We start from the raw sequence: 19,232 nt of genomic DNA, 5'->3' as shown, positions 1-19,232 counted from the left end.
TTTTTTTTTTTTTTTTTTTTTTTGAGACAGAGTCTTGCTCTGTCACCCAGGCTGGAGTGCAGTGGCGCAATCTCCGCTCACTGCAAGCTCTGCCTCCCAGGTTCACGCCATTCTCCTGTCTCAGCCTCCCGAGTAGCTGGGACTACAGGCAGCCGCCACCACTCCTGGCTAATTTTTTTGTATTTTTAGTAGAGACGGGGTTTCACCCTGTTAGCCAGGGTGGTCTCGATCTCCTGACCTTGTGATCCACCTGCCTTGGCCTCCCAAAGTGCTGGGATTATAGGCGTGAGCCACCGCGCCTGGCCAAGATTTTGTTTTAATGTATATTCCCTGATTAAGTCTTTAGGATAAATTATTTTAACTAGATTTGCTAAATCAAGGGAATATAGACGTTTTATAGTGCTTTTTAATGCTTAGTTACCAGCTAAAGATTTTGTAAAACAATATATACTAAAATAAACTTTATATGAGATTTTTGGTTGTCTTCAGCCTTACTAAAACTAGATATTTTTATTGTATCTTTGCTAACTTGATAGGTCAAACATTATGTCTTATTTTAGTTTAAAATTATTGATAGTGAGTTTAAATACTTCCCACAGATTTTTCCGTTATGAATTGGTCGTTTCTTTGCTCTTCTTTTTCTTTTTCAATTTATTTCCTTTGCCCTTTTATTTTGAATTAGGAGATAATATATTAAGTGTAGTCTCTATATCCCTGATCCAATTGTCAGCACTATCATTTATACTATCATTTGCATTATTTTACTAGATTTTTTACAGTGCTTCCTAAACTAATATGTCTTTGCTCTTATGTTTTGTTCGAATACATTGTCTTTACATTTCATCTTTTCCCTGACTCTGACTTTGAAGCCATGTGTGCATATTGTAAGGGCAAGCTTAAGTTAAAAAATATAATTTATTACTGCACTTAATGCACACTCACAAACCCCAGTACGCTGTGGCTCTGTAAAAGGGAAGGGATGAAAATGGGTGTTGCTTTCAACATCTTCATGTGATAGGTTCCCAGGCTTCCTCATGATCCAGCCAACTCTGCAGATAAACCCAGGCAAACAGGGAGAGTACAGTAACTGTGTAAACTAAATACTAGTAATGATTAATATATTTCATATTTTTATATAGAAATAAATATAAATAATAGTGATATGGTTTGGCTGAGTCCTCGCCCAAATCTCTTCTTGAATTGTAGCTCCCATAATTCCCACATTTTGTGGGAGGGACCCAGTGGGTGATGATTGAAGATAATCGAATCATGGAGGCAGTGTCTCCCACACTGTTCTCATGGTAGTGAATAAATCTCAAAAGATCCAATGGTTTTATAAGGGGTTCCCCTTTTGTTTGATTCTTATTCTCCTATCTGCTGCCATGTAAAATGTGCCTCTCACCTTCCACCATGATTTTTCTTTGTAAATTACCCAGTCTCGGGTATGCCTTTATCAGCAGCATGAAAACTACTAATACAAATAGTCTACCGTTGTTTTCTCTACTCCATTGGATCGTCTTGCACAGTTTCACATCAGAATTTTGGGTGAAAGTAGTGTGATACATGAAAAGCTTCATTCCCCCGGTATATATTGTCATTGGATGCTTTTCTCTGATCTTATAACAACAGGGTAGTGGGGAGACTATAGTTCCCAGGATGCGTAGAACCATTATTAGTGTCTTAGTCTATTCAGGCTTCAATAAAAAAGTGACATAGACAGGGTGGCTTGTCAACAGTGGAAATTTATTTTTCTTAGTTCTGGAGGCTGCAAGCTGAGATCAGGGTGCCAGCATAGTGGAGTTCTGATGTGGGCCCTCTTCCAGGTTGCAGACTGCTGAGTTCTTATTGTATCCTCACATATTGGAAGGAAACAGAGCTAGCTCTCTGGCCTCTTCTTATAAGATTACTAATCTCATTCATGAGGGCTCCATCCTCATGACTTAGTAACCTCCCAAAGACTCCACCTCCAGATACCATCACATTGGGTTAGATTTCAATGTATGGATTTGGTAGGGGGACAGGGGGAGGGCATAAACATTCAGTCTATAACACCTTTTAAAAATTGTATTTATTTATTTTTTATAAAGGTGGGGTCTCACTATATTGCCCAGGCTAGTCTCAAACTCCTGGGCTCAAGTGATCCTCCCACCTCAGCCTCCCAAAGTGCTAGGATTACAGGTATGAGCCACCACACCCTGCCAGTCCATAGCAATTACTGAGAACTTCCACCCCAATCCCACTAAGCCACAACTCCCTTTCACTATATATCCTGAGAGCGGTCCTCCCTTCTCCCAGGTGTGACTTTCCCCAAATATATATCAGACCATAAGACCAGGTGGCAGGATTATTTCTCTGGCACTTAGAAAAGCAGCATCGTTACAGTAGGGGGATGGCTGCTTTTCTATTTATTACAAAGCCTGAATCTCTGAGGGTCTCAGGAATCTTCTTCCTTTCATATGAATGAGCTGTCCTGGTGCACGACGGAAAGACTGCAATGGTCTAAAATCATTTTTTTCACTACATACTCATCGACCTTATCACAGAAATTTTACCCAGGCTCTGGCAGGAGGTTGACTCCAAGCATTAGTTTTTCACATTGTGGCATGTTTATCCTTTTATAAACCTTCATAGGTCATTTTGCTGGGATTGTGAGACAACTTTCTGGCCTAGTGACACTTTAAACCAGACAGTCAACTATATTTGTTTTAAAAGAAGATTCAATTGTATTTAAAACATTATTTTGTCATGCTATACCTTACTATCCCTAGCTCAGATTTGTGTATGAAACATAAATACTGCAAGGCAGAAAGTTTTCCTTTGAAGAGCTCCCCATATAAACGCGATGTTTGAGTAAATGTTCAAATTAAGTTAAAATTCTAAGCTGTAAGTCATTAGCTTCTCCTGTCGAAAGAAGGTAGAGATACTCTTTATGAAATAGAATTTGTATATTGACAATTACATTAAAAACATACTATATCTGGTCATTTTCCTCAAACTGTCTTAACAATTCTCACCTGCTGATCATAATAAAATTTTCACAATAAACTTGGAATACTTTGACAAAAATCTTAATAATGGTGCAATTGCATAGGCCATGAAATAGCAATGTTGTCATAAAAAAACATAACTATGACAGAACATTGTGAAGAATTTCACCTTTCTTTGCTAAAGGAAATATGGTCAACATAAACATACGTCCTTACTGAGCAGTACCTAAAGGATTTTAGTCAAAATAGTAAGTAATACTTGGACAATAAAGTCAATTTTTACTTTTCTTATTAGAAATTTTATTTTTTTATTGTAAAATAAGACATGAATGCTAAGGAAACGTTGAATCTCTAATTGCAGTCTCTCTACAAGAGAGAGCATTTGTAAATATCCAGCCTCCTATCTTCTTTTGATAAAATAACTTTATTCAGATTTATGTAATATCAAAGTAGAAAAAAATATGTGTTGAATGATTGTAAATAATGAACACAAGAGTAAATTTGGATGCTTGCTGTTGATCCAGTTTCATCATCACCTAGAAACATAATCAAACAGGTCACATTTATTGACAATTTACTACTTGCCAGCTACCGTACTCAATTGTACCTTTTGCAAAATTCTATCTAATCCTCATATTTTATACTGAAGTTTATATACACACATAAAAGTTATATATTCATTAATTAATAATCTTGATATGTTGTGAAACATGGAAAAATAGAATTAAGTGGATGAGATAAAGATGAAATAAACAGCACCTAAGAGGTAAGAATAAGTTTTATTCCTTTTTACTGATGAAGGAACTAAGGATCTATGTGATTAGATAACTTGTGGAAGAATGTATATAATTCCTGGGAAAGACTTCCTATGAAAATTAATTACATCAATTTGCTAAATGGATGTAAATTTGACTTCTTGTTACATATTTAAATGACTATTATAATAATATGGTTACTAAGAATGTACAACTCAATTACTGCTCATATCAACTTTCATAATCTCAGGTGTAAATTATATTTTTGCTAACAAAACATATTGCCAAACTAAAAACTTAATAAGAATTCAGCAATAACTCTGCTAGAATGCAATGTTTTCTGTAAAGACAAAGTCTTGGCAGGAAAAAAAAAGTGGAAATTCAGAAGAAATAGCCAAATTAAAAGTCAAAGATAATTATGATAGTATTAATGAAGCAAAATCCTTTAATTTTCTTTTCTTTGCTTGCCATAGAACATATTGAGCTCTTTAAAATTCATTCATGCAGTGCAACAGAATTTTATGCCCATTTTCATGTGTCTCTGTAATATTCAGGGCTGTAGTTTCAGGCTTATAAAATAGAAGCAGCACGGTCTTTAAAAGGCAGATGATCAGGAACAAATCTTATGTGGTACTAACAAAAAGAGCATTTAAAGAATACTGATAAAAATGCATTAAAAATAACGGAAAACAATGCGTTCTATTCTTCTCTGAATTAATGCAGATGTGCATTAAATTGCAATACAGATTGCCAGAATAAAGTAATTACATGATAAACACTGGTAACAAACAACCTGTTTCTCTGTCAGCAGAGGTAGAAAATAATGACATATTTTTCTTTTGGTTTATTGGCAGCTCTATTCAGCTGAAAATATTTGGGGTAGAGGGATACAAGTAAACATCATTTAGTGTTCCTAAATAGGTACATTCATAACACCAGAGTTCTGGGCAGCCATACATAATATTTTTGAAGAAACAGAGTAATCAAAGAAAACTGAGCGAGTGAGAGAATTGATGCTTCAGACTAGGTTCTTTCACATACTAAGTGTGTGACTGCACAAATCAATTTGCTTCTCTGAGTCTCCATTTTTATATCAGAGGACTGCAGTGATGAATGTCACAATTTTGCATTATACTTAGATTAATAGACATCAACTAAAATATTGGATTCTGAGTATGCAGTATTTATAATAGTTATGATTCATCCATACATCAAGCCATGCATTATTTAACTTAACACAAATATGTATGCATAACTGTCAGGTATATGGCAAATTGTTGCCAATATATCTATTGAGCAACTCACAGCCTCTACAACATGTGACAGATCACCAGAGAGATGCTAAGAAACTATGGATGGAAATTCCTATTGATTCCTACTGCTAATTGCAGTTAGCAACCACAGAAGAATCTTTCCTGGTTTTGTCAAGTCATTAAAGGTGTATTTTTACAGTCTTTTTAAGTGAGCTTTGTTATCTCCTACCAATCTGCTACTGTAAAAGTGATATTTCACTTTTTAAAATAATTACAAAGAGAATTATAAGTGGGAGAAAATGGTGACTTCAACCAGGCTGATAGCAGTGGAAATGGAGGAAATTGGTTAGTGAGAGATATATTTAAGAGACAGAATTGATAGAATTTGTTGAAAAATTAGATGATTTCTGATTTGAGTGAGTGCTTTGTGATGTCATTTCTTGAAATAGAGAAGGCAGTGTTGGGTTGGGAAGGGTAAAGACTTTAAGAATCCAGTTTGGATTATGTTAAGTTTGAAATGTCTATCAAATAGTCTGATCCTGAGAAGAAAGGTCAAGGATGCATATGTAACTTTGGGAATTGTCTATATATAGATGATATATAAAGCCATGGGAATAGATAGGATCAACTTAAGAGAGAGTTCAGAGAGAGAACTGAGGGAGAGAAGGAAAGGATGAAGGTAAGGAGAGAGGGGGGAGAGAAAAGAAAACGAGAAGGAAGGAAAAGAAAGTGTCTATGAGTAGAACACACGGCTTTTTTACATCAGGTGAGAAACTTTATTCACCTAATGCAGCCTTTTTGGTCATTCAGGACACAGAAACAATTACTAAAACAGATGAGTTAAAATAATTGATGACACTGTGACTATATGTAATATCAATCTACACTCTGTTCTTCAACATGTGCTACAGAAATCAGATAATTCATTAATGGAAAAAACCCACTTAAATGTATATTTTATAGATACACAGTGTTATAGCCATAAGAATAGCTCTAAAATATTCTTGCCTATGCATTAATGGTCCATTAATGCACTTCTAAAGAGGCTGAAGTCATTTTGTCTTCAATGTTCCATGGTTTATAATTCACTTGAGGCTGAGATTAATTTTTTTATATGCCATTTTCAGTCCATATATTCCTGTAATTCATTTAATCGAGCCAGGTTTTTATGAAGGAAACTGTGTTGAAAAGTACAACATCACAAAATAAGTTTAAAATGTACCTAAATGGACTAAGATAAAAAGTATTATCTTTGGTAGGCTTTTTGTGGAATTTATACGTCAAAAAAAAGAATGTACCATAAATCTCTGCTGTTTTAGAAAAGGACCTATGTTCTCACGTAAAGAACTTTGAAAGAAGGAATAGAAAAGATGGTAATAATCAAAATTTGGCCACTATATAACAATGTGGCCTTTTCCTATGGCATTATGCACTAGAATGGAAAAACTGACAGAATTCTAGAAATCATCCTCAGTAATTGCCTTTTCCTTCTTCCTCCTATTCAATAGAAACTGAATCCTATTAAATCTTTCCCAAATATCTTCTGTATTTGTTCAGTACTCTACCTATTGGTTGGCCCTTCCTCAGTTCATATAACTCATCATTTTCCTGGACTGAATTTTCTTTTTACTGATACTACTGCTTCAGTATTGACCCCTGTAATTCATCTTTTCCTCAGTTGCCATGACTTTTGTACCAGTTCTCCTTCCACTGCTACCCTAGTTCAGGCCACTCACATCTCATGCCTGTGTTATTGTAACTTTCTCTTCCTAACCAGTCTCCCTCTTCCACTTGTGACTAATACGGAATCATCACATTTTATACTACCCTAGAATGACATTTCATTTCAATTATGTAACCTTTAGACTCTTTACCACGGCCTACAGGCTCCTTTTTGGTCCAGCCTCTGTTCATACCTCTGACCTCATCTCCTTCAACTTTTCTCTAATTCAAAAATCCCTAGCAACATTGGCTTTTTATTTCTAAACCAGAAACCACAAAACTCCTTGCCATCTGAAAGTCTTTGCTTGAAATGTTCTTCACGTAGTCTGTAAAGCGACTTCTTCATTATCATCCATCAGATCTCTATCCAAATGACCCTCTTAAGAAGCCTTCCCTGAGTATTCAAATCCTCTCCCCTTTGCACTCTCCATCTTAACAGTATATTCTATTGTATAATTCCTGAAATTATCTTGGATAATGTGAGTTCTGAACTCAGTCAGCTTTCAAACATTGGCTTTTTCACCTACTAGCTAATGACCTTGGGAAAATTATTCAATCTCCATTTATTTTTTGGTAAAATGGGATAATAATACTTCATCAGGTTGTTACAAAAATTAAATGACTTAAAGTTTGTAGAACAATGCCCAGTTATTCATTATTATTAGTTGTAGGTGTAGCAAAATCAGTACTAAGATGTAACTCTTTAAATGTTTAGTTTGCTTGTTTCTGAAACCCTGGCATCTACAACAGAGTGTGGAACTCAACAGTATGTCCTTGATAAAATGTGTGACCAATTGTTGCCTGACTAGTGATGTAAGAAGGGCAGCTGTGATTAAAGACATTCAAATTTCAAATGCTTTTAAACAATGTGGAAAAAAATTACTCCAGCATTCTGCTGTTGGCTCCAGTTGAAGATTCTTAAGTGCCAAATTATCTGCCTTTGGACAGAAAATTTCAGTTACTGAGATTTGGATACATGGGAAGTCTTAAGTCCTAGAAAAGAGAATCAGCATGAAGCAAACCACAGGGGACTTGACTTCCAACTGTGAGATTAATATTAGGGATGAGAACACCAGATCTAGATAGAATTGATAGTATTAGCTAGGTTACCTGGGTCAGAACCAGAAAGTAGGCTCCCAGCAGTGACCCAGTGATACAGAGAAGGGCCAATTCAGGGAGCTTCCTGAGGTGGGGATGGGCCTAACACCTTCCAGTGGTTAGGATTGGCTCGATAATGGTATAGAACCTGTCCATCAGGTAAGAAGCACTAGATCCCATTAGCATATCCATCTTGGCCTCTGCTGGAAAAGTAGGAAGCAGGAAAAAAGTCAGAGGCAGACTGTAATTAGTCTTCTTAAATATTGCTCATATAAATAGAATAGCTCTGATTTAGATAAAATTGACCACAACTCATTTTCATTTTGGTGCTGAGATCTTCTACATAAGATCATGTGCCATATTTTGATTTTTACTGCATATTATTAGGAAATCCATGAAATGGAAGGGACATTGAGGCCTCTTACTTTTTAACTGCTTGCCTCAAATAAATGATCTTACCTCAGAGTTTAATAGATATGTACAAAAGGGAATTGTATTTATCTTTCCACAATTTCCATATTATCAAATTGTAAGTCTGTAACACTGTTCACTGTGTTTGTAAACCATAATAAGTGTTATAAGATACTGTATTTGGCTTTTGGCAGGCTTTTTTATTTTTGACTGTAGCATCTGCTCAGGGTGTCAGAATACAAATTTAGAAAGGTATATATATAGCCAGCATGTCATCTTTTCACCAATGGATTTGCTTAAAATTTCTCACACAAAGCTACATTTACTGGAGGATCTTTCTATAAAAAATAAACAGAGGTATGTGTCTGATCCTTCTAAAAGACTTGGCATTTAAACAAAATACAAAGCTCGGTTATGTAAGGACTGTAGTACCAATAGTCATGTTACATAAAGCTTTGCATGTTATGAAAATTTAGTGTATTCTCAATAAATTACTCTCTATGCTTTATAATACCATATTTTCATGTGTTGAGAAAGTTATGCTATTACATTGTAATTTCTTTAAATTATAAATTGTTAAAAGATTTATCACTAAGTCCTGATTTCAGTTTACATAATTCATAGCTACTTTTATACACATTACTAATGAAAAATCTTGATTTATTGCATCAGATGTATGAATCGCTGCATCTAATTTTAGAGAAGCTTTTTGTGTTTTCATTGAACTGAACAAATTTGATATATTTGACAACTGTTACTTGAATATTTCTGATTAATGATGCCTTTAGAGTTGAGGCTGTTTATGCAATTTCATTTGATATTTTTATAAGTAGTATTCCATAGATTATTATAAGCATATGGATTACTCCTGGTGATTTTTAAATCCACTCTTTTAAAATAACAAGGTTTTCAAAGAAAAATAAAGAATTAAATGTTGAGTTGAATAACCACATTTGTCCAGTTGAAAAGAGTCGCTTCTCTATTCTCTACTTTTTATCCAAAGAGCCACTATTACCTCTCTAATGTCCTCTTCTCCCATACCTCTTCCTTCTCTCAGTTCTTTATTTTTCCCTCTGGTATTCCTGGCCATTAGGTCTAATTCAAAAACAATCATTCCTCTTTACTCCTAGAAGTGAGTGGAAACTATAGAGAGAATGTATAGAACAAAGACTTCCCTTAGCAGGATTGAGTCTTTTTCTCTCTGACTCAGCCAGAAGCCCAGGTGCAGTATCCAGAGCAAAAGAAAAACGAAAATATTCCAAACACTTTTTAAGAATTGCCAAGTAGAACAAGGAAATGGGTTTGTAGGGTTTTGGTTTTGCTTTGGGAAGGAGTATTATTATTATCAGCCATTTGCAGATAATAATCCTTGGTACAAGTGTGTGTGTGTGTGTGTGTGTGTGCGCGCGCGCGCGCATGTGTGTGCGCCTGCTTAAAATGAAGAACATCGTTTTAGGGAAATCCTTCTAGATGTGTCCTAAGTTTTAAGCTTTTTCTCTTAAATTACTAAGAATAAGATATTTGGAGAAGATTAGTTCTTTCAGATGAATTAAAGTCAAGTTATTAAAAGCCACAGTCCAGGGTGCGAAAACTTCAGAAAAAGTAGTTGAAGATAACACATTCTGTAAATAACTTTCTAGCATATATTTCTATACCCTTCCCCCAATACTTTATTGACCCCATTCAAAGGACATCTTTTTTTCTGATAGGAATTCAGCCATAATCACATTGTCATTTGATGTTTGTAAATATCTCAAACTAAGTTTTATTGACTCATGAACTTATTAAAAACATACTCTTATTTTTCAGGATGTCAAACTTGGCACAATTTGACTCTGATTTTTACCAATCTAATTTTACTATTGATAACCAGGAGCAGAGTGGTAATGACTCTAATGCCTATGGAAATCTTTATGGATCTAGAAAGTAAGTACTTAATATTTTTCTTTTTTTTTTTTTGACAGAGTCTCACTCTGTCACCCACATATTGTAAAAATTCAATATATTGTAGTTATTATGAAAGTTGAAGGGTCTGATCTTTCTTGCCCTCTAAACTAGACCCACAAAAAAAATCCAAGAAAGCAACTAATTAACAAAATACAGTATACTTAAGTAACTTTAGGCAACAAAGTGTCAATTGCTTTTGTAAGGCTGGAGTGCAGTGGAGTGCAGTGGTGCAATCTTGGCTCACTGCTGTCTCTGCCTCCTGGGTTCAAGCGATTCTGTGCCTCAGCCTCGCATGTAGCTAGGATTATAGGCGTGTGCCACCATGCCTGGCTATTTTTTTTTTTTTTTAATGTTTAGTAGAGACGAGATTTGGCCATGTTGCCCAGACTGGCCTGGAGCTCATGAGCTCAAGTGATCCGCCCCGCTGGGCCTCCCAAAGTGTTTGGATTATAAGCATTAACAACCGCACTGAGCTGTATTGTTCTTGTTTTAAGAAGTCTTAATATTATGGCAGGGATTTCTAGAGAGGGAGGTTTCCTTGGGAAAAGCCAACATTTGCCTCAACATATCTCAGTAAATTGCCCAAGAATACATGTCAGGAAATGGCAGAGAAATTCATCAAGTTCTCCATGAATCCCCTTTATCACCTCAGCCTGAGCCAAGTGAAAGGCTTGTCTCCTCTTTTCAAACTATCACTTAACAGAGAGCTGGGATACAGGCACTGGGCAAACAGAAACCATTTTCCTTTTGCCTAATATTTTCCAGGGCACTTCTTGAGAACCAGATTTCATTAATTTAATAAACATTTATTGAGATTCTGCTTGTGTTTCAGAAATTAAGAAGGGCACTGCAAATCCAAATATAACGATGAAATTCATAGTTTTTTCTCTCATGCAATTTTATGTTGAAGAATTGGGCAATTAAATATGCAATTTAAAGTATGAAAAATGCCATGACGGAATCAAGGTAAACACGTTAAAATATGATAGTTATTTGAAGTAAAAATTCAACTTGAGTTGAAAATGAAACAAAATGATTAAGAATTTGATAGCGGCAAAATATGGCATTTAGAGTAAGAAGAATTTGGTTCAAATTCTGGCTTTGGCATTTTCTGTCTGTGATATTGGTATGACTTAACTTCTCTGACTGTCTTAATCTGGAAAATAAGGATATTAATAATACCTACTTAATGGAATTGTTATGAAAAAAATTATGATAATATGTAGGAAAGTGTGTGTTAAAGTAAAACCACTATATAAACAGTATTTATTCATATAAATGTGACTTACAAAAGCAATTGACACTTTGTTACCTAAAGTCACTGAAGTATACTGTATTTTGTTAAATAGTTGCATTCTTGGAATTTTTTTCTTGGGTCTAGGTTAGAGGGCAAGAAGAGTCAGACTCTTCAACTTTCATGATAACTATACAATATATTGAGTTTTTATTATATGTTAGGAACTGTTCTGAAATTATATAAATTAATTCATTGGATCCTCAATTATATACATTAACTCATTGGAGCACCATATGAATTAGGCACTACAGGTTGAGCATCCCAAATCCCAAATCAGAATCTGAAATGTCCCCAAATCCAAAACTTTTTGAACACTGACATGTGCTCAAGGGAAATGCTCAGTGGAGCATTTCGGATTTCTAGTTTTCAGATTAAGGATGCTCAACCAGTATGTGTTCTGTAAATATTCAAAAATCCATAAAAATCTGAAATCTAAAACACTTTGGTCCCAAACATTTCAGATAAAGGATACTCAACTTGCACTATCATCCCCATTTTGCATGAGAAGACAGACACACAGAGAAATTAAGAGATTTTCTCAAGGTTACACATCTAGTAAGAAATGGGGTTAGGATTTTAGCTCAAGGTTGTTTGATTAGTGCTATAACTAGTGTGAGCATATGACTTATTATAAAATAAAGACTTTTTAAATGTAAAATTAGTGCTATTATAATAATGTTGGGATAATAAGAATAAACTGTTCCATAAATTAGGATATGTGGTATATTTCAAATGTATTAATTTTTGAAGCTTTGTTATACACACACACATCCACACACACACCTTAAAAGCTCCAGATAGAAAGAGGAAAAGACAGAATACATATAACAGGCAGTGGGGAGTCTTCTGTTCCTACTCTGCCCAGAAAAAAATGGACTCTCTTTTTACAGACTGATCACTCCTACAGGTGTAAGCAAATAGATGCTGCTTTCATGATAGGGAAAGGTATTGAGATATAATTTTTTTTAGGCTGGAAAAGTTGAATATCTGGAATTGTATCTAATTCACACTCCTATGCTATCCTGCCTAGCACTAGTCAGGCTGCCTTTTATGATTTACACTTTGGAAGGTGAAAAAAAACAGGAAAATGTTTGAGGCACAGGGAGTAGTTTGAGCACTAAGGTATACAAAGGTGGTCACTCTAAATTTGCAATCCACAATGAAAGATATCTACTAAGATTTTTAAGCTCTGTTCTGTTTTGTAGAAAGGAACTAGTTGCCTTAAACCTTCTGTTTCTTTTCTCAACCCTCTTTTCCAGATAAGATTGGTATTTGGGTAGCATTGATATTTTCAGATTAAATTAAACTAAAATGCACAATAAGAGAGAAAAAACTTTCTCCCTAAGCAAGGACTCATGGACCGCGGCTTTATCCACCCACCCCACGCACTCCAATTTTCTTTTTCCATTTGACTGAACATTTCCTAGAAATCAAAATGACAAAGAGATGGAAATTAATGTAGCCAGATGAGGAAAGCTCATAATTTTACAGTACCAGGTTGACGGCCTTCCCTGCTTCAGATGCTTAGCATTTAAATCTAAGTCCTGATTTGGATGCAGCAACATTTAAATTCCGATTCACACTGTGCATCTCAGGAATTAGGAAAGGGCATAGTAGCTGTGGTAGTTTTATGAGGTACGTAAAACATGGAGTCAGGTCAGTGATTTACTATGTACGTCAAAGGAAATCCAGAGATTTGATCTTTTATTCATACCATGAATAGTTCAATTAAAATATACCCCATATCAGAACAAGATGATGATCATCCTGGCAAAATATGTGGGAACCTAGAGAATAGTTATAATCAGTCATTCAGCTTCTGTTTCCTCTGTCTCTGTCTTTGCCTCTTTCACTCTCTCTCTTCCTTCACGCCTGTCCACAGTATACGAGAGCTCATTTTAAAAAGCCTGTTTGGCTCAATGGTGTATTGATCTGAAAGCTGGGTGACTGTGCTCACTAAGACGGTGAAGATATTTATATTTAAAAACAAGTTTTCTTATTTTAGAATGAACAGTAGGATCATTATCTTTTTAAAAACATAATTATTCAGCCATTCAGATAGGGATAATTTCCAACCATCTATAGGTAGTCACTGAGGCTATATTTTTCCACCTTTTGAAATGTGAAATCTATTCATATTATGTGGAAAAAAGAAATAGATACTGTTGCAGAAAGGTGTGAACAACTGGAAAAATCCCTTTGAGTGGTTTGGTAGGACCTTAACAGGTAAATATTGAATCATCATCTTTTCTGAATCCTCAGACCTGATCTTCTAGTATTTCAAACACAGTTAAGGCATTACTGTGTACCCAGCTAGACCAACCAGAGTATAGGAATGTTGCAGAAGCCAACTATCCCAGCTACCACTCCCTGACTCATGCTACCACCAAACTCATCCTATTTGATAAGGTCTTACCAAGGGCACTTAGATTGCCTGAGTTTACAAGCTTAATCGGAAATTTACATAGGTAAGTTACACAGATAAGGTTTTGAATCAGTTATGTTTAACTAGTTAATTCTATGTTGCCTCTGGAATTAATAAACACCAAAAAGTTCTGAGCTGTTCTTGTTAAACATTTTCCTTGACTCCACCAACATCTCTGCTTTTAGAAAACTATAAGATATCTAATTGTATCCAGTATAGAATTTGGAAAATATAGAAGCATATGAATAAAATATTAAAATCACTTCAAATCTTGTCTCCAAGACATGACTATTATTAACAATTTGGTGTACCTCCTTGCTGCCTTTATTCTATTTTCCTATGAATGTGTATATTATATATATTTAAAAATAAAATGCTATTTTTCAATGAATGTATATGTATTTATGAGTACTTATAAATGAAATTTGCTGATTGTTCTAAAGGAGCCCTACAGTCACTTCTCGGTAGTTTGAAGTGATTTTTAAAGGAAGAGGAGACGTTTACTAACAAAGCTAAAGTTTAAATTCAATGAGCCAGAGTTCAATGTTTCTTTTGATCTAATTCAGTTAACATTTATTTCATCTGTAATAGTGTGCTGAATTTGAAATTATCACAATTTCAGTATTTATCTTCCAATAGAGCTAATGGAGATATTGCATAATACAGGAGAAGAGTTACATTTTCTTGGCATATTCTGCAAAAGTCTTATTGTGTGTGAGGTACAAATATATAACGTTGACATCTTAAATATTGAGCATATTAATCTGACTTATTACATTACCTCTACTAGGTTAATCGTCAAGGACTATAGGCTTAATAGAGCAAATAGTGAAGTGTCCAGATCCATTATCTCAGAGACTTTTTTCATGAAAGGATATTGTAGGCTTGAAAGATGTCTCTAAGAATATATGAAAACTCATTGGCATAGCCATTCAGAGTTGGTGCCACTTAGTAAAAAAAGGAAAATACCAGAAGACATAGGGGACTAAATGTAAATTCATAATATGTGTTTAAAATTAAAGTTGTTCATATAAATTTTTAGAAAAAAACCCTAAAACATAAGAATTGGGTTATTTACTGTATCAGGCCATTCCCACAACTGCTATGAAGAAATTCTCGAGACTGGGTAATTTATAAAGCAAAGAGGTTTAATTGGCTCATAGTCCCACAGGCTGTAGAGGAAGCATGGCAGCAGCTGCTTCTGAGGAGGCCTCAGGGAGCTTTTACTCTTGGCAGAAGGCAAAGCAAGAGCAGGAGTCTCAGATGGCAGGAGCAGAACCAAGAGAGAGTGGGGAGGTGCTGCACATCTTTAAACAACCAGATATCATGATAACTTTATCAAAGAGCAGAAATGGGGGATGGTGCTAAACCATCTATGAGAAACCACCTCCATGATCCAATCACCTCCCTCTAGGCCCCACCTCCAGCTGGGGATTTCATTTCAATGTGAGATTTGGGTGGGGACACAGATCCAGACCATATCCTTGTACCCCTGGACCCTCCCAAATCTCATGTCCTCACATTTCAAAGTTCAAATTAAGCCTTCCCAACAGTTCCCCAAAGTCTTAACTCACTCCAGCATTAACTCAAAAGTCCAAGTCCAAAGTCTCACCTGACACAAGGCTACTCCCTTCTGCCTATGATCCTGTAAAATCAAAAACAAATTAGTAACTTCCAAGTTACAATAGAGGTGTAGGCATTCTAAAAGGGATAAATTGGCCAAAAAAAGGGAATGTCCCATGCAAGTTTAAAACCCAGCAGTGCAGTCATTAAATCTTAAAGCAAATTTGTCCAACCCACAGCCCACAGGCTGTGTGCAGCCCATGGTGGCTTTAATGTGGCCCAACACAAATTCATAAACTTTCTTAAAACATTATGAGATACTTTTGCAATTTTTTCAGCTCATCCGCTATCATTAGTGTTAGCATATTTTATGTGTGGCCCTACACAATTCTTCTATTTCCAGTGTGGCCCAGGGAAGCCAAAAGATTGGACACCCCTGTGTTAAAGCTTCAAAATAATTTCATTTGACTTCATGTCCTACATCCAGGTCACACTGATGCAAGAGGTAGGCTCCCAAGGCCTTGGGCAGCATCAACCCTGTGGCTTTGCAGGGCACACCATGTTCTGGTGATGAATGTCTGAGGCTTTTCTAGATGCAGGTTGCAAGTTTCTGGGGGATCTACCATTCTGGGGTCTGGATGATGATGGCCCTCTTCTCACAGCTGCACTGTGAGGGACTCTGTGTGGAGACTCTGTGTGGGGGCTTCAACCCCTCTTTTTCATTCCACACTTCCCTAGTAGAGGTGTTCCATGAGGGCTCCACCCCTGCAGCAGGCTTCTGCTTGGACATCCAGGCTTTTCCATAAATCCTCTGGAATCTAGGTGGAGCTTCAAAGCCTCAACTCTTGCACTCTGTGCCCCTGCAGGCTTTACACTATGCAGAAGCCACCAAGACTTATAGCTTGCATCCTCTGAAGCAGTGAGCTGTAACTGGGCTCATTTGCCCCAAGGCTGGAGCTGGAGTGGCCAGAATGCAGGGAGCAATGTCCTGAGGCTATGAAGGGAAGAGGGGTCCTGGGCCTGGCCCATGAAACCATTCTTCCTTCCTAGGCCTCTGAGCCTGTAATGGGAAGGACTGACACAAAGGCCTTTGAGTCCTTTTCCTGTTTTCTTGACTAATAGCACATGGCTCTTTTTTTTAACTTATGCAATTGTTTGTAGCCTGCTTGAATTCCTCCCTTGAAAATGGGCTTTTCTTTTCTATCATTTGGCCATTCTGCAAATCTTCCTAACTTTTACACTCTGGTTCATTTTTAAATATAATTTCAAGTTTCAGATCATTTCTTTGCTCACATATATAAACATAGATTGTTAGAAGCAGCCAGGTCATATCTTGAAGGCTTTACTGCTTAGAAATTTCTTCCAGTAGATGCCCTAAACCATCATTCTAACTTTTAAAATTTCACACTTCCCTAGAGAAGGGGGCACAATGCACCCAGTCTCTTTGCTAAAGCATAGAAAAAGTGACTTTTACTCCAGTTCCCACTAAATTTCTCATCTCCCTCTGAGATCTCAGCCTAGACTTCATTGTCCATATCACCGTCAGCATTTTGGTCATAACAATTTAACAAGTCTTTAGGAAGTTCCAAATTTTTCCTCATCTTCCTGTCTTCTTCTGAGCCCTCCACACTCTTCTGACATCTACCTGTTACCCAGTTCCAAAACCACTTCCACATTTCCAAGTATCTGTATAGCAATGCCCCCACTCCTCAGTACCAATTTCTTGTATTAGGCCATTCTTACACTACTATAAAGGAATACCTGAGACTGGATAATTTATAAAGAAAAGAGGTTTAATTGACTCATGGTTCCACAGGCTGAACAGGAAGCATGGCGACAGCTGCTCCTGGGGAGGTCACAGGGAGCTTTTACTCATGGTGGAAGGCACAGGAGCGTCATCTCACAGGGCAGGAGCAGGATCGAGAGAGAGGTGGGAAGTGCTACACACTTTTAAACAATCAGATCTCATGAGAACTCTATCATGAGAACAGCCCTAGGGGGATGGTGGTAAACCATTCATGAGAAATTGCCCCCATAATTCAATCACCTCCCACTAGGCCCCACCTCCAGCATTGGGGATTACATTTCAACATGAGATTTGGGTGGGGACACAGATCCAAACTATATCATTTACAGATTTTTTGGATCATACTTTGGACTAATAATGTGATTCTTTTGGTATTGGTTATGCTTTTTTTTATTGAGATGAAACATTTAATATTACAGTGATGGTATACAAAGATATAAGATAAAGAAAGCTATAATTTAAATTTAGATAGTTATCAAAGGTGAGCATGGTAATTTTATGAATAATTATGTGTTTTCCTTTATGGGACAAATTTTAACATTTTACTTTCTTAAATAAGTGGTAGAGGAATTTTAGTATTATAACCCCATTACAATAAGGACAATGGAATCCAAGCTCCTGAGAATTTTTTTCTGTAAAATTTTGTTTCTCTTTGAAGAGGATGGTCAAAGTTACTACCTGAAATAGTCCACTCATTCACAGAGGTTGCTTTGCAGCTAATAACAGTGAAGGTTATGTTTACTCAAGCCTGATTAGTAGCACCTGACATGAGTTATGGTGAGGCCAGACAAGTATGGCAATGACATAGTCTTACTTAGACATTGGTCCATTTAGTCATCTTTGTGTGTCCCTTTCATTTTTCTGGAAAGGCTTACATTAAAAAAATAGGTATTGGGGGATTTTTATCAATAAAAAAGCCATTCGGATTCCTATTGCTAATTTGTTTCTACCAGTGTTTTTGATGATGTGCCTATTTTGCTGGAAAATAGATTAGGAATATTACATATGGCTAAGTGAACAATAATAGCAGGTAATCACCATACATTCTGGCAGGTTCAAATATTATTACACCAGGCTCTTGCTCTTAATGAGCATACATTTGAGTTAGTAAATGATTAAGTGTATATCTCCCCCCTCTATATCTGTGGCTTTCTTTTCCTAAATAAGTTATTCTCTTGGTCAGGCTTACTCACATAAAGGAGGTCGAATATGTTATTCTTAGATTTCATATTAAGATTAACATTCGAAGGAAAGTACTAAAGGCCATTTTGTAAATATTTTATCATAAAGAAATCACAAGGAGTTACCAAGTTCAGAACCTTGGACTGTACATTCAGTTTACCCCAAGGGCTTTTATGAAAGAAACTTAAAACGTGTTACTGGGCAGCTCTATGTTTCTTTCCATTCTTTAAGGTAAAAACAACTTAAAATGAATAAAAATAAAAAGCAAAAACATGTCAAAGAGGTATTATGGCTTGGCAAAGTTGAATTGCCCATTTTCAAAAAGGGACTCTTTTTTTTATTCAAGATGGCTGACTTGAAGCATTTCAAGCATGTTTTATCCACTTAGAAGAAGCAAAATGGTGTGTAGACAATCACACTTCTAATATATTATCCAAGGCAGAACATTGGAATTCAACAGGAAAGTGACAGAAAACACCAAAAGCTAGGAAGGGGAAGGAAAATAGGCAGCATACATGGCCAAGACCAGCCAAGAACCAGGAATGACTCTCCAGTACAGGAGAGGGTGAGTGAGAGTCTATACGTGGTCCACTTTCCTGCTGGGGAATTGCATAATTCAGGTTATGGGAGAGCACCTTGACTCTCTCAAACCCTAGATCTAACTTAGAAAGCAACCAGGAAACTGTGAGAAGGAACTGCTTTAGGGAGGGAGCATGCCTTGGGTTCCATGCTCTTTCTGAAACCCAAGCAGCTAAAGTAAGACACCATTCTAGATCTTAGCCCTT

The 19,232-nt window shown here is 36.3% G+C and overlaps 1 protein-coding gene across 4 annotated transcripts in view; it reads left to right on the top strand.

Annotated features, from left to right (window-relative positions):
• YIPF7 (Yip1 domain family member 7) overlaps window positions 1–19,232 on the top strand; it is a 40,112-nt gene that overhangs the window by 2,063 nt on the left and 18,817 nt on the right. For 2 of the 4 annotated variants that reach the window (NM_182592.3, NM_001387382.1), the window contains exons 1-2: window positions 8,512–8,583; window positions 10,036–10,152. In NM_182592.3, coding sequence (NP_872398.3) covers window positions 10,037–10,152 — 116 coding nt within the window. In that variant the 5' untranslated portion in view covers window positions 8,512–8,583; window position 10,036. Of the gene's footprint in view, window positions 1–8,511; window positions 8,584–10,035; window positions 10,153–17,274; window positions 17,389–19,232 lie in introns of those variants that run through there. The other 2 variants (XM_011513679.3, XM_047450094.1) reach the window with 2 other exon arrangements.

The sequence above is a fragment of the Homo sapiens genome, chromosome 4, assembly GCF_000001405.40.
Source record: "Homo sapiens chromosome 4, GRCh38.p14 Primary Assembly".
In the NCBI taxonomy this organism is placed as follows: Eukaryota; Metazoa; Chordata; class Mammalia; order Primates; family Hominidae; genus Homo; species Homo sapiens.
The sequence above is the reverse complement of the archived record's forward strand: the minus strand, read 5'-3'. Positions and strand labels throughout refer to the sequence as shown.